This window comes from Homo sapiens, chromosome 3 (assembly GCF_000001405.40).
Source record: "Homo sapiens chromosome 3, GRCh38.p14 Primary Assembly".
In the NCBI taxonomy this organism is placed as follows: Eukaryota; Metazoa; Chordata; class Mammalia; order Primates; family Hominidae; genus Homo; species Homo sapiens.
The window spans coordinates 193,657,014-193,672,225 of NC_000003.12; the positions used below are offsets into that span (position 1 = coordinate 193,657,014).

The following is a 15,212-nucleotide window of genomic DNA, read 5'->3' on the forward strand; positions in this document are numbered from 1 at the left end:
ATTTTTCATGTTAACCATTGAAGTATGTAGTAATAATATGGCTTTTTTTCTTTCAAATAATTATAGGTTGCTTGGGAGACCCTACAAGAAGAATTTTCCCGCTTTATGACAGAACCGAAAGGGAAAGAGCATGATGACATATTTGATAAACTTAAAGAGGCTGTTAAGGAAGAAAGTATTAAACGACACAAGTGGAATGACTTTGCGGAGGACAGCTTGGTATGTTGTTTGTATACTGGGGTATCAGCCTCATATTTTTATATAACTTCTCAAATTGATACTTTTTCATAGGAGACTTTATATGACTAAATTACATTCTGAATTAAAAATAATGAAGTAAAGAAACAGATTTATGATCTGTAATCTGCCCTTTAATATTTCCCTGCCCTTCTAAAATCACCTGTTGCTGTTTCTTTCTTGGCTATCATTTCAGAAAAAAGTAAAACTTTGCAGTAAACAGACTCTGATAAACTTCTACAAATTGTCATCTGTTAGCCATTTTATGGGCCTGTCTGTAGATAGGTGCTTCTAATTTTACCCTCTGTGATAATGAAAGGAACTACATGCGTTGGTTTTCAGTGGATTATAAAATGTTAGACGCCTAAAATCATAACACCAGCTACCATGTATTGAATGCTTACTATGTGCCAGGAACTCTGCTAGGTATTTTGCAAGCATTATTTGATTTAATTCTTAACCACTCCTGTTATTGTCATTGACAGAGCTGGGATTCAAGCCCCTCTCTAATGGCAAAGCCTGGTTCCTGACACCACCTGATAAATCTTTTGTTATGTAGACTGCTCTCACTACCAAAATCAAATCTGTTAAGTGCCTGCTGTGCTCAGAGAGTTACTAGAGGTGTTGTTGAATTACAGGATTGAGCGATTTTCTGGGAAAATGCAGAGCTGGTTGTAATTATAATTTTGTTTTAAAGAAGTGTTTGTCTTTATGGCCGGGCGTGGTGGCTCACACCTGTAATCCCAGCACTTTGGGAGGCCGAGGTGGGTGGATCACCTGAGGTCCGGAGTTTGAGACCAGCCTGACCAACGTGGATAAACCCCGTCTCTACTAAAAATACAAAATTAACCAGGCATGGTGGTGCATGCCTGTAATCCCAGCTACTCGGGAGGCTGAGGCAGGAGAATTGCTTGAACCCAGGAAGGGGAGGTTGCGGTTAGCCGAGATCGTGCCATTGCACTCCAGCCAAGGCAACAAGAGCAAAACTCCGTTTTCAAAAAAAAAAAAAAAAAAGAAAGAAAACCATATTTATTCTTGTTAAATGCCTTATTAAGACTGGCTTACTGAGAAAACAGCTTCATTTTTATTCATCCAAAAATTATAAAATTTGGAAGCCAATTTTCAACTGTAATAAATAACTTTTATGATTTTATAGACCTTTTAAATGTCTACCTTATTACTTTTTTCGTTGCTGTTAACACTGGGAATAATGGTTAATAATTTTTTTCTCCTCATTTTTGAAAAGGCTAACATGTAGGTCACATGGCAAAAAGCGATGAACATGATCTGAATTATTAAACCCTGAATTTTAGGTTTCTAGATGTTGCATTTCATGTAGTTAAATTTGTAATATTTTGTATAATGTAAATGTGTAATATTACCCACGCACCCCATATGGTTAGCTTGTTTAATTTGGGCCAGGAGAGAATCTCCACTCTTTATTTTTTAGATAGCAAGCTAACAAATAAGCAGGCAAGTAAAAGAAGCTTATGCATTTTTATAGGAAGGATATATTTTTATGCTGGTTTATATACATGGTTATTTTTCCATATTTACTAAGCTGTCAATTTGAATAAAACTACTAAAATGATGAGATGTAAAACAAGTTGGCTTTTTCTCTTCTTGTTATTTTCAGAGGGTTATTCAACACAATGCTTTGGAAGACCGATCCATATCTGATAAACAGCAATGGGATGCAGCTATTTATTTTATGGAAGAGGCTCTGCAGGCTCGTCTCAAGGATAGTAAGTGGAGACACGGCTTATTGAGTTCTGAGTTCACAGTGGTGAAGGAGTCATCCAACTTTAGTGAACATTTGTAGAAATAGATTGAACATTTCAAAGTCTTTGTCATTAATACTATAGTCGAATATTATTTGTGGAATTTTTTTAGTCAACTGCTTTGTAACTACTAAAACCAATGAATAAAATGGACACATGATGCTTATATGCATTTATATTCTATAAAGCTATAATGCAGAATATTTTAGTGTGTTCGCTACTGTACTTATAGGAATTTTATAAGCAATTATACTTTTAGGTATCTTAAACACATATATAATTAAACTCTTACACATGTGCCATATCAGTCATGTGGGTTTTTTCCTTTATTTCAACTGCCTTCATATTGATATAGCACTTTGAAATAGTTAAGAAAGCAAGACCATTATTAGTTATAATTTGTGTGTGTGTAAGTGATAAAATTCTTGATTAATTAATTTTTTTTTCTAGCTGAAAATGCAATTGAAAACATGGTGGGTCCAGACTGGAAAAAGAGGTGGTTATACTGGAAGAATCGGACCCAAGAACAGGTAGAAATAAACAAGTCTCTAGTCTTATGATGATATAATTTTGTTCATTTTAATTCAGGCATTAAAATATAACCTTTTTGTGGCTCTAGACCAGTCTCAGGAATATTAAATGTTTTATATCATACTTTCTAAAATATAATGAATCTTTAGAATAAAGAATAAACTACATAAGAAAGTTTTTTTTAAGTGAAGTAGCCATGTTGTTAAAAGACAAGAGATGAAACATGCCCCTTTTGTGGTTGATTACATTGTTCATTTCAATTCCCTGTTTGAGGTAAAAAGGAAGATTAAAGTTATGAACAGGCCAGGCACGGTGTCTCATTCCTGTAATCACAACCCTTTGGGAGGCCAAGTCAGAGGAATCGCTTGAGTTAAGGAGTTCGAGACCAGCCTGGGCAACATAGCAAGACCTCCTCTTTACTAAAAGTCAAAAAAAATTAGCCAGGTGTGGTGGCGCATACCTGTTATCCCAGCTACTAGTGAGGCTGAGGTGGGAAGGATTGCTTGAGCCTGGGAGATCGAAGCTGCAGGGAAAATAACTTGTGAATAGAAAAAAATAGTAAGGTTTTCAGAGGATGTACAATGAATATGATTGGCGGGAAAAGATACAATTTTTCTTGCCTTATTTTATTATCTTATCTATATCTACCATTAAAGTCCCTACCCCTCACCTCCACCCCTGTTCATTCCTTTCCGATTCTTATAGCTTCTTTTCCTATCTAGCATTCAGTCTTATACCACTGTCTCATTCCTTGTTCATTCCTTAAATGAAAGAATCTAAATAGAATATAGAATCTAACTACATAAATTAATGAAATAATGAAGATGAAAAAGATTTAGCATCCAATCCATTTTCTTTTCTTGTTTGCTTTGTTCCTTGAATTCATTTAGAGAAAGGAGATCAAGTAATGGAAAAATAGAGGAGACAAAGGGAATAAAAATTGACCAAATGAGATGTCCCTATTTCTTTATTTTATATTTTCATTTTCATTTTAAATACAGTTAATTGTATAATCTATATCCTATTTTTTTCCTAGTTTCCCACATTTCTTGTTTCATAAGTTCTCTATCAGATGTGAGTCTCAACTTTCCTCAAAATAATGAAGAGACAGTCTTCTTTTTCTCTGTGTTTCTTTACTATTTTTTTTTTTGGTAATGACTTTTGTGAAAAATGAGCCATTAAGAGACTGAAGCAAAGCTGAGGAAGCAGACAGTTAGTGATTGGGTCATGCATGTGTTCAGGGTGCGTTGGTTATCTCTGCTCTACAGATGGGCCGAGAGAAGGAGGTCTGTCAGAAGAGAATTTCTAGAGATCCATCCAAGGTTTCTGACTTTGATAGAGGAAGATGCATTGATTAGAAAGAGCTGCTGTAAGGGAGATAAACTGCAAAAGAAAAATGGTATCTGGCCTTCAAGACTTAGTGATATTAGGCCTAAAGTCTCTAGAACAGTTGGTGGCAGAACTTGCCTCAGCAACTGACTGGTGGTAAATGTGCTTTGGCCAAACACTCTCTGAAAGAAGTGATTCCTGCTCGTAAGTTATTTTTGTCAGGAACTTAAACCCATAGGGGAATCCCTTCAAGAGAAAGAAAGGAATTTGCTTTAAAGTCAGTGCAAAGGGTCTGTAAGCCTAGAAGAGGAATCTGGAAACCCTTTACAGAAGAGCCTTCTCCCCACAGGATTTCAGGGCAGCATGTGTGAGACCCAGGCTGACTGTAGAACAGAGGCCATAATTTGGAATATAGAAGGGAGGGGCATCTGAATCACCCGGGGAGGTGTTTATATATAGTGTTTTGTTTTTTCTTCAAAAGCTAGCCTCATGTCAGACTCATTGAGTCAAGCTCTCCTTCTCTATCCTTTCTATCCCTCCCACTCCCAGTTGAAGACAAGTGTTTTCAACCTCATACCTGGAGGTTACAGTGAGACATGGATTCTAGAAGAGGTTGAGAATATCCCTAGGTCTCACATCGTAAGTTCACTTAGCTGAATGACAGGATTTGGCAGGAAAAGAAACTTAAAGATGAGAAATCCATTCTCTGAAAAGTATTTTGTGCTTTTGTGTTTCTTTTGTTTTCTAGGAAAATTCATCCCTTTGAAACATTCTCGCCTTGTTTAAGCCAAACTAATGGAAATTTTGGTCAGGATAGATCCAAGAGTAGTTCTCTCTTCTAATGGCCAAGTGTGGTGACAGTCAAATGATGGGTAGAAAGGGGGAAGTAAAACATGAGGCAGGATGAGCTTGGGAACACCATTACCAGCGATTTCCTTTCCATCTCAGACTGAATAGTACATGTTTAAGCAAACAGTGAACTTTCTCTTTATCAAATGCTCTTTTTTCTGAAGTATTAGTTTTCAGAGAGTATTAATTAGTAGTTCCATTTACAAGTTAATTGTTTGCATTTATGTGTTAATCTTGTCTACTCAGATTTCATAGCTGTGATAGAGTTTGGGGCAAAAAAAAACACTCAGTTTCGTAGCTGTGGTAGATTTTCTATTCTAGTAATTTATTTAGGGTAATGATTGAATTTAAAGCTAGTTTCTTCTATCATATACAATTTTGAGTGGAGGTTTGAAAAATGACAAGATTAATTTAACACAGTATAAGAATCTTGTTATCAAACATAACTAGTGTAGGTAAGTTTTCCTCCTTTGGTAAAGAGATTATGAATAATTACAGATAAGAGACTGGAAGTGAATTTAAGAAGGACAGATACCTCACAGGAGCAGTCTGAAGTACCATTTTTTATGAAAAAGCTTTTTAAAAATCAAGCTATGCATTTTATATTTATTGGAAAAGAAACATGTCAACAAGTTTAAGTCCTTACAGTAATCTCGTTCTTAAGTATAGTTCTTAGATATGAAGCATTTTAGAACATCAGCTCTTCCTATGCATTCAGGGTGCTTTTTCCTAGATTCAAATTATACCCTACGGTCAAGAAAGAAAGAAAATACATGGTAAGATTCCTGGTGCTGTAACTTCCACAGGAAAAAACATTTCAGCAAAAGTAAATACATAACAAGTAGGGCTAATCCCTGGGTTTTCTACCCTCTCATAAGGCAAATTCTTCTGTGTTCATAGGCCATTTACCATATTCATAAGCCGGGGTGCTGTGTTCTTTCTTGTGTTTCTTTCTTGTTTGTTGTGATTAAGCTTGTGTTATCTTTTATGCAATAGTAATGTATTTATTAAAATTGAGACTGTTTTTCAAGCACCAAATTATGAACCATCTAAACACAGTCCTTTTTTAAACATTTTAAAGTGTGTTCACAATGAAACCAAGAATGAATTGGAGAAGATGTTGAAATGTAATGAGGAGCACCCAGCTTATCTTGCAAGTGATGAAATAACCACAGTCCGGAAGAACCTTGAATCCCGAGGAGTAGAAGTAGATCCAAGCTTGGTAATAAATACTGCTGAGAAGCAGGAATCTGCTTCCTTAATATTTGTTTCTTGCAGTAAATGTTACTACATGTGTTAGTTAGATATTTAAGTGCTTAATTTGACTTTTGTCACGTGTACATTTGCTGACAGTAAAAGCTTAGTCATTTTGATTGCGTGAAGAGAAGGAATTTTATTCTCAGTATTGCTTTTTTAAGAGTAATGCTTTAATTTGTAAATGGAGAAATTTACTTTGGCAAGTTCAATGGTCAACAGTCAGTTCATGCAAAATGGGATGAAACCGACCTAGACCTTTGCCCCACGTCACGCTGTTTCAGATTGCAAAATAGAATTTCTGTTTAAAAATGGCATATATATGTGTTTTTGTGTGTGGTTTACAGTCAAATGTAACTCAATTAGATGTGAGTGGATTCAGAAAAAATAAAAATGTTGTTTTTATTAAATTGGATATGACCATTGAGTTCTTTCTCCATTGTCCTCTTTTGTTAATGTGAGAATAAAAATAGTCTACACTTTAGGCTACTTTTTGCTTACCTTCATGATGCTTTTTTTGAGGATGAATTTTAAAAAATACTTTCGGGCCCACGTTTTTTAAAAACTACATTCTCTACTGCTTAGTTAAGATGTAAGGAATTCAAAAGCTCCTTATAATATTAGCTTAAGTGAACACAATTAGAAAAATAAGTCTAGTGGGGAAAGCAATCATTAACAAATTTCAAAGCCACACAAACTCTTTTAAAGATTATGTGCTATTTATGTTTCTGTACTTGAGGGATGAGTATACTTATTTTAAATTCCACCACAGGTCAGAACAAGTAAAAAAATAAAAATAAAATTGGTAAAACTCAAAGCAGTTATATACATCTAGCATTATTTATATATTGAAAATGAGATGAAAGCTAATGATTACATGAGCTGTTTGAGTTGAATGTGGATTTAGGTTTTATTCTTGTTGGTCCCAGCTCTCGTTAACAATAAGTTATATTCAGTTTGACACTTTTAAACGTTATGTGGCACGTTGGTGAATACAGTAGGAGGGATTTTCTCTTCAGAGTGGTATAGAAGAGATGTTACGTGATTTTTTTTTTAAACTTTTTGCTCATGTCTTAGGCAATGAATTGACTGTATGTCTTAATTAGTTTCTAAGACCAAGAAAACCTCAGGTTTTTTAAGTGACAGTTTGTTCAGTGCACTTTGCAAAGCTATAAAATAAGTAGCAAAGTACCACGAGAAGAATATTGCATGGACTAGATATCAGGACATGTGAATTCTAGTGTATTTCCATTATATTAGCTAATAATATGTCCTTTAATAATTGATACCACTTTTCTGACCTCACTTACCTCATCTGTCAAAAGGGGTTGATGTTTTTCTAGTTAACATTATTATTGTTTTGCTCAAAAAAGGACAGAGGGTATTAAAGAATATTGGACACTCAGAGTATCTAGTAATAAAGTGGTAGGGATCATATTGGTATGGTAGCAGTAAAATTTTATAAACAGAAAGGAAATGTTGAGTTGCTAGACATGATCTGAGACCATCTTAAGTTCTAACTCTGTTTTTAGATAAGGCTTTCAACCTCTTTCTGCATTGGTTTCCTCACCTCTAACTAGGGGAAGGTAATACCTACCCTGTCTACTCCACAAGATGATTATTTGATTATAGTAACAGCATTTGTTTAAATCATTGCTAATTTTTAAGTACATAAACTGGTAATGGGTCAGAGTAGTAGTAAATCTAATCTTTGCCTTAAAAAAAGTAAGTGAATAAAAAAATTTGAATAACTATGTAAAGAATAACCTTGCTTTTGCTTTTAATTAACTTTTTTGGTAAATATAATTTTTGTACAACTTCTCAGTGTGGTTGATCAACATGAAGAATATACAGTAACTCTGGGCTTTCTTTTTTCTCATTTTAGATTAAGGATACTTGGCATCAAGTTTATAGAAGACATTTTTTAAAAACAGCTCTAAACCATTGTAACCTTTGTCGAAGAGGTTTTTATTACTACCAAAGGCATTTTGTAGATTCTGAGGTAAGGTTTCCAAAAACAAAGAGAAGTATTTTTAAGCAACAGTTGTCAAAATATGCTTAAAAGTAAACTTTAGCTTAAGCATTAATTTTAAGTCCTTTGATCATCTGGGGAAAAAAAGTATGTGTAATTTATAAAGAATAATCTAACTCTTATATTTTCAAAGATATTTGCCACTTTGTTCGTGATACGTGCATATTATCCCCAATGCTTATAAGAATATGTGAATATAAATAGTAAAAAAAAGTGTGAATATAAATAGTAAAAAAAATAAATAAATAACAGGAAATAGTCCCTTATTCCCTGACCTGTAAGAATTTTAGTTAACATTTTTATGTATTTCTTTTCAACTTTTTCTGTACATAGGGAGAGAGACAGAGAGGGAAAGAGAAAGTGTGTGTGTATCTGTGTGTGTAACATAACCATCCATTTGCATAATGGAAATCATCCTGCAAAACAGTTTTTATCATGCTTTTTTCAGGTGTCATAATTATTTCTTCATATCACTAAATCTTGTTTTAAATAATCATAAAGTTCTTGTATTAAAATGATTCATAATTTAAAGTAACCCCTAGGTGGCAGCAGTCTGATATATTTTCAGCATTTTCTTACAAGCAAAAATGCTTTTAAATATCCTTTTGATAAAGCTCAGTTAATCAACAATCTTATTTAATTGAGACTTCTAACATGCTGTTCTTTTGTTTTCAGTAGATGAACATAAATTTATATTTAAATGCACCTAATTAAAAGTGGCAAGTTTTTTTTGCATAATTTTAATTGTAGAGTGAACTTCTTTCTATAGAAACTTCTGTAGAAAGAAGAAACTTCTGTAGAAACTGCCTTCTGTAGAATAAGCTTCTTTTTAAATACATCACTTTATTTTCACACAGCTGAATTTTAAAAATGGCTTGAGTACAGACTCAAAGAAAAGAGGTTAACCTAAGGACGTATTTAAGATAAACATGGTTAGCTGAAACTAAATATAAATGGAGGGTATATGCTGTGAATTTCAACTTACATACAATGTAATGTAATTTGCTACTACTCAAGCTTATTTACTTTGTCATTAGAATTGAAACAAAGCTATCTAGGTGTCAGACAGATATAAGCCAAATTATGCAGAATTTCATGGCTCCGTACAGAAAGGATTCTGTAGCTTATATCTACAGTATATGCATTAGGTAAATCTGAGTACTTTTTAAGCTTAGGACATATCTACTGGTTCTAGTAGTTGTATGTGTTTACGATGATAGTTTTCATTTTAACTTTGCATCTGGTAATCTTAGTTACTTAATATTTCAGTTGGAATGCAATGATGTGGTCTTGTTTTGGCGTATACAGCGCATGCTTGCTATCACCGCAAATACTTTAAGGCAACAACTTACAAATACTGAAGGTAAGCCACATAGGGACTGCAGTCTTATTTTGACATTAAAAAATAATAGTGGTAATATCCATATTTAATAGAAGGATGCCAAAATACTTCCCAAAAGTAGATTTATTAGAAAAACTGGCCAGGTGTGGTAGCTCATGCCTGTAATCTCAGCATGTTGAGAGGCCGAGGCAGGAAAACCGCTTGAGGCCTGTAGTTTGAGACCAGCCTGGGCAACATTGTGAGACTCTATCTCTACAAACAATAAAATAAATTAGCCGGGCATGGTGGCACACATCTGTAGTTCTAGCTACTTGGGAGGCTGAGATGGGAGGATCACTTGAGCCCTAGGATTTTGAGGCTACAATGAGCTATGATCATACTACTGCACTCTAGCCTAGGTGACAGAGTAAGACCTTGTCTCTTTAAAAAAAAAAGACAAAAATTATTATTTGCTTTTAAAATAAATCATAATTGGAAAAGATGGGTGATAAAACATACCAGGAGTTTATTTTCATTGCATGAAACTCTGTTGGGAATGGACTCCTAGGTATCACTTAGTTTTTTGGGAAATCTGCACTTCCATTAAAGTGTATAGCTTAAGAATATGACATTCTCTGAGACTATATAGGTTTCATGCTGATAAAACTACTGTATAACAGAGATTTTCTATGACTATGAAAAGTATTAGCAATAGTTCTAACATGATAAAAAATTTACTCTCCATATATATAGGTTAATTTTATCATCTTTATTCATTTATAAAAACGATGCTCCTCAGGTTTTTTAACTTTCTTTAAACAGTTAGGCGATTAGAGAAAAATGTTAAAGAGGTATTGGAAGATTTTGCTGAAGATGGTGAGAAGAAGATTAAATTGCTTACTGGTAAACGCGTTCAACTGGCGGAAGACCTCAGTGAGTAGTTCTTACTGCCCTCTACCTTACTACCTTTCCACCTTTCCCATTTCCATTTGTTTGTTGATCCATTTAATCTCAAACTTACAGAAAAGTTACAAGGAACTGGGCTGAGCACGGTGGCTCACGCTTGTAATCCCAGCACTTTGGGAGGCCAAGATGGGTGGAAAACAAGGTCAGAAGATCAAGACCATCCTGGCTAACACAGTGAAACCCCGTCTCTACTAAAAATACAAAAAACTTAGCCAGGTGTGGTGGTGGGTGCCTATAGTCCCAGCTACTTGGGAGGCTGAGGCAGGAGAATGGTGTGAACCCGGGAGGCGGAGCTTGCGGTGAGCCAAGATCCTGCCACTGCACTCCAGCCTGAGCGACAGGGCGAGATTCTGTCTCAAAAAAAAAAAAAAAAAAAAAGTTACAAGGAATTTTTTTCTTCTCTGAAGTATTTGAGAGTAAGTTGCTGACCTTAAGTCCTATCACTTCCAAGTAGGTTCATGTATAGTTCTTAGAAACAGATTTTCTCATAGCAACCGAACATTGATAAATTACAATATCTAATTCTCAGACCCCTTTCAAGTTTCACCCGTTGTCCCAGTATTATCCCTCCATATAACAAGATGTTCCAGGCTCAATACCTGACCCAGCTTCCTTTTTTTGAAGAATGGTGTTTAGAAATGGAGACCTAGAAATTATATATGCTGTTATTGGAATATCACTGTTCCCTGGTTTCTCAGTGGAAAGAGCTAGGAACTAAGTGTTGTGAATGTTTGTGTGTGTGCAGGTGAATATACACACACTGACATCTGTATTCCTAAATCATGTGTATATTTATTTATTAAAAACTGTGAGTTGATGCTGATACTTCCCATTTTAATCCAGCATTACAAGGTTTGTTCTAGTGTTCTCCCTTTCGATATTTGTCACTTGCTTTCCTGATAGAAAACGGGCTTCTAGTATCCTTAATATATTTTCATATTTTGGTCAGTCCTCCTATACGTAACCCAACTTGAATGAAGATATGTCCTTTTCCATTGCAGAAATGTTCTTTTTCCCCAGCTCGGACTCAACACTACACACCAGGCCACCACATGGCGCCGCACCCAGCATTGACACTTCTTTTACCTTGTCTGGGCTCTGACATCCGTGCCAGGTTGCTCTTCGTCATGGAGTCCCTTTTACTGAGCTCTGCTCTGACGCTTTGTGCCAGGTGCCTCTCCATCTCATCCTTCCCACCCGCTAGCCTCTGCCCGACCCCAGACAGATTCCTTCCTCACCTGAAGCCAGACCATGCCTTTGTGGAGATACCCTCTTTACCCTGCCTGTGCTTCGCCAGCCTGCACCAGGCCACCCTCCTGCACAGATACTCTCCTCAGTACTGGACCAGGCTACCAACAGCCCCATGTGAACCCATTGTAACCCAGGTCAGGCATTAACACCTGCAGTAGGCTACCATGGCTTCCCCTTCCCACCCCCCTAGCTTGGCCCTACTAATAATCACTTTGTCACTGTTTGGGGTTGATATTTGGTTGTTTCTTGTAGGTTCCTAGCTTTAAGATAGGATTGCATACTAAAATTTACTTAGATCTTTGAGAACTCAAGGAAATCAGTGAAACATTATTGTTATTAAATAAAAATAAAATACCTGTAGTTGGTACCTCTGTTTGAGCCTGCCTTGTTACAAGTTTCACTGACTTCAGCTTCGTGTAACAAAGTATCTTTTTCTTTCAACGTGTACTTAAATTTCCTGTCTTATTAGTTTTCTGATATCTAAAAGGAAAAAAAGCAGATATCGTTAATAAATTAGAAAGAAGTTCTGCAAATTTAAAAGTGCCTTCTAAGCTGAGTTGTAGGATTACAGTACAATCCATAGGGTTATCCTGAAGAAGCCAGGCAGGGCTCTTCTGTGTTACACCCTGTGCCTGCGCAGCATGCTCACCCCTTGCCATCAGCGCTTGCGGCCCCATTCTCTCCCTCTAGTAATAATCTAAGTTCTGCATTGCTTTCTCCTTTCCTTTTCTTTCTTCCTTTAAATATTCTTCTTTCGAGACATATCTCATTTTAACTTTTATTTTCATTTTCTGTCACTTTTGGTTTTTCTCATGCCACCTTGGCAATGTAGTTAAGTTTGTGCTAACGTAGAAGATTAGTGCTCAAATCTGAATTGCCATTTACTACTAGCTGTGTCATCTTCGGCAGGGAATCTCCCAGAGCCTTAGCTTCTTTATTTGTAAAATGACTATTATAGTGGTTATTTCTCAGGATTGTTAGAATTACTTCCGCAAACATTTGCAAGTCCCTGGTTCATAATTTCATGCTAAATTAGTACCGTTACAGGAAGTGGTATATCATTGTCACAGTGTATACAAATATATTTCTTTTATATCCCTCGTGATATAATTATCAAGACAGTGAAACAATTCAATGAATTTTACCAGCATAACACATTTTTAAGTGATTGGAAAATCATAAGTATCTTTTCTTATGTTTTTAGTAGAGGCTTTGCAACCCCATTACTCTCCGCTCCCAATTTGATTATTTAAAGGAAGTGGATTACTAACTCAGATATGTACACTGTCAAGCCAAGTTCTATGTTCTACTGCTGGTTTTCCTGAGAAAGCAGTCATATAACTCCCTTGAAATGATTTACTACTTTTGTACATATAAAATTATAATGGTGTTAATGTACCAAATAATGTCCTTGGAAGCAAGGGTTTTGCCAGTAACTCAGCTGCATCAGTCACCCTCAAGGAGATGAGCCATGACTTTGTTCATTAGTTGGAAAAGAGTCTGGAGAGTGCCTTTTCGTTACTGTTTATCTTTGGTCTGACACTTGGGAATAGGGTCATGGATACTTCAGCCAGAAAACTTTCCAAATTTAAGTTATTAATGTATTATAAGGATCAAAGTTTCTAGTATAGCCTGTTCAATTAGAACATAGTGTGTTGGTTGATTGGATTTGGAGAAAGGGAGGCAATCAAATTTTTACTACAGTTTCAGCCTGTTACAGAATATTGTATAGAGTGTTAAAATGTTGATGCATTCATATTTTTGCCAGTTTTAAGCTTGTACGATTTTAAATCATTTCCTTACCTTGGAGACTTCCCCCCCACCTTTTTTTTTTTTTTTGAGATGGAGTCTCGCTGTGTCGCCCAGGCTAGAGTGCAGTGGCACGATCTCGGCTCACTGCAAGGTGGTTCTCCCACCTCTGCCTCCCGAGTAGCTGGGGCTACAGGCGCCCGCCACCATGCCTGGCTTATTTTTTGTATTTTTAGTAGAGACGGGGTTTCCCCATGTTAGCCAGGATGGTCTCGATCTCCTGACCTCATGATCCGCCCGCCTCGGCCTCCCAAAGTGCTGGAATTATAGGCATGAGCCACCATGCCCAGCCCTGACTGCCCTTTAAGATGAGTACATAAGTAGTAGTAGTACATTTTTCTTTCACATCCTGGAGAAGATATACTGTGTTCACTATTGAAATGAAACCATAAAGCTAGAGTTAGGAAGATTGAAGAAATGAAAAAGGAGCTCACATGATTTTGTCTCAGGAGAGGCTCTTCCAGGATTCTTTGGAGATATGGTAGATTCCATAGCTGGAGCAGGGAAAGGACAGGATGAGCCTGTGGGTGTAGAAAGGAAGGGAGTGCTTGAAAGATGATGAGGAGATGTCAGCAGGTCACAGAAACCCTCTGAAGGAGGCTCCAACTGGCCAGGCTGGGGACAATTTGGGCCCCAAAATAATGACAGTAACAAATTGTAACTCATTGAATGAAATAGGAATCCATACATTGGTAATTATATAAATAAGGGAATAAAACCATGATGCAAAAAGGGATGTTTATGTCATCACGCAAAATATGTTCACAGAAAATATGTACTAATTAAAAGAGGGAAAAGAGTAACTTTACAGTGGATGAAGCCTGGCAATCATCACTTTAAGCAAGTGGTCAGAGTTAATATTATCAGTAATGGTCAAATCAAAACCATATGCAAGAAGACTCTAAAATGCAAGAAGACTCCTGAAGTACTTCTTACCAAAGATGTAGAACTTAAATTCAGTCATAACAATACATGAGACAAACCCAAGTTAGAGCACAGTCTGCAAAATAACTGGCCTGTAATCTTCAAATGCATCAAGATCATGAAAGACAAGGAAAGAGTGAAGAGCTGCTCCAGTTGGAAGAGACTTAAAACTAAATGCAATGTATGATCCTAGATTGGATCTTTTTGCTCTAAGGACATTAATGGGCCAGTTAGTGATATTTGAAGGGGATCCGAGGGTTCCATTGTAGTAATATATCAGTGTTAATTTTTAAATTTTTATTAGGTTGGGATTATTTTGGAAAATACCATTATTCATAGCGAATACAAAGTAGAATATTTGGGGATGATAATGCATGATTACAACAAATGTTTCAGGAGAAATATGATCTTTGTAGTGGTCTTGCAACTTTTCTGTAAGTCTGAAATTGTTTATGCATAAAAGGTTAAAAAAAGGTTAAATTTTGTTTTTATAACTAATAATGGATTAGGGTCATGTGAAAGTACTTTAGAGGAAATGAGACTTTTGAGAACATCATCCCTGAAGACGTTGAAACACTGAGTTACCTCATGGATAATTTAATAGGATATGCAGCTGATTTTTCTACCTTAATTTCTTGTTTGCAGTATCTACCCATACTTAGAATTGTCTGGTGTTAAAATATGCCCACTGGGACTTTCATGAAATTCTTTTGATTTTCTAGAAAATTCAGTTTCAAAGGATTTTTTAAATAGATATTTTAAGTTTGGTGTCAACTTAGATAAAATCTGTTTGGAGTCCCAGTGTAAGTTTTAGTAATGTGTCCAATCTGTTTATTGAAATAGTATAACTTTAGAATACTTTCTTTGGAGAGATGAAGATTGGTATGTTATAGTTCAATTCAAAGTTGTTCTTTCTATTATGATCTAT

At 35.8% G+C, this 15,212-nt stretch overlaps 1 protein-coding gene and 1 long non-coding RNA gene across 22 annotated transcripts in view; one reads left to right on the top strand and one right to left on the bottom strand.

Moving 5' to 3' along the window:
* Positions 1-15,212, top strand: part of OPA1 (OPA1 mitochondrial dynamin like GTPase) — a 104,604-nt gene that overhangs the window by 63,806 nt on the left and 25,586 nt on the right. For 19 of the 20 annotated variants that reach the window (NM_001354664.2, NM_001354663.2, NM_130837.3 and 16 more), the window contains 7 exons: positions 67-219; positions 1,874-1,982; positions 2,469-2,548; positions 5,809-5,949; positions 7,867-7,983; positions 9,283-9,376; positions 10,157-10,267. In NM_001354664.2, coding sequence (NP_001341593.1) covers positions 67-219; positions 1,874-1,982; positions 2,469-2,548; positions 5,809-5,949; positions 7,867-7,983; positions 9,283-9,376; positions 10,157-10,267 — 805 coding nt within the window. Of the gene's footprint in view, positions 1-66; positions 220-1,873; positions 1,983-2,468; positions 2,549-5,808; positions 5,950-7,866; positions 7,984-9,282; positions 9,377-10,156; positions 10,268-15,212 lie in introns of those variants that run through there. The other variant, XM_047448213.1, reaches the window with a different exon arrangement.
* Positions 1-15,212, bottom strand: part of LOC102724808 (uncharacterized) — a 35,845-nt gene that overhangs the window by 9,759 nt on the left and 10,874 nt on the right. The window contains exons 3-5 of one of the 2 annotated variants that reach the window (XR_924836.3): positions 13,795-13,881; positions 11,907-12,031; positions 10,619-10,650 (exon numbers count right to left, since the gene is read on the bottom strand). This is a non-coding gene — a long non-coding RNA (uncharacterized LOC102724808). Of the gene's footprint in view, positions 1-10,618; positions 10,651-11,906; positions 12,032-13,794; positions 13,882-15,212 lie in introns of those variants that run through there. The other variant, XR_924835.3, reaches the window with a different exon arrangement.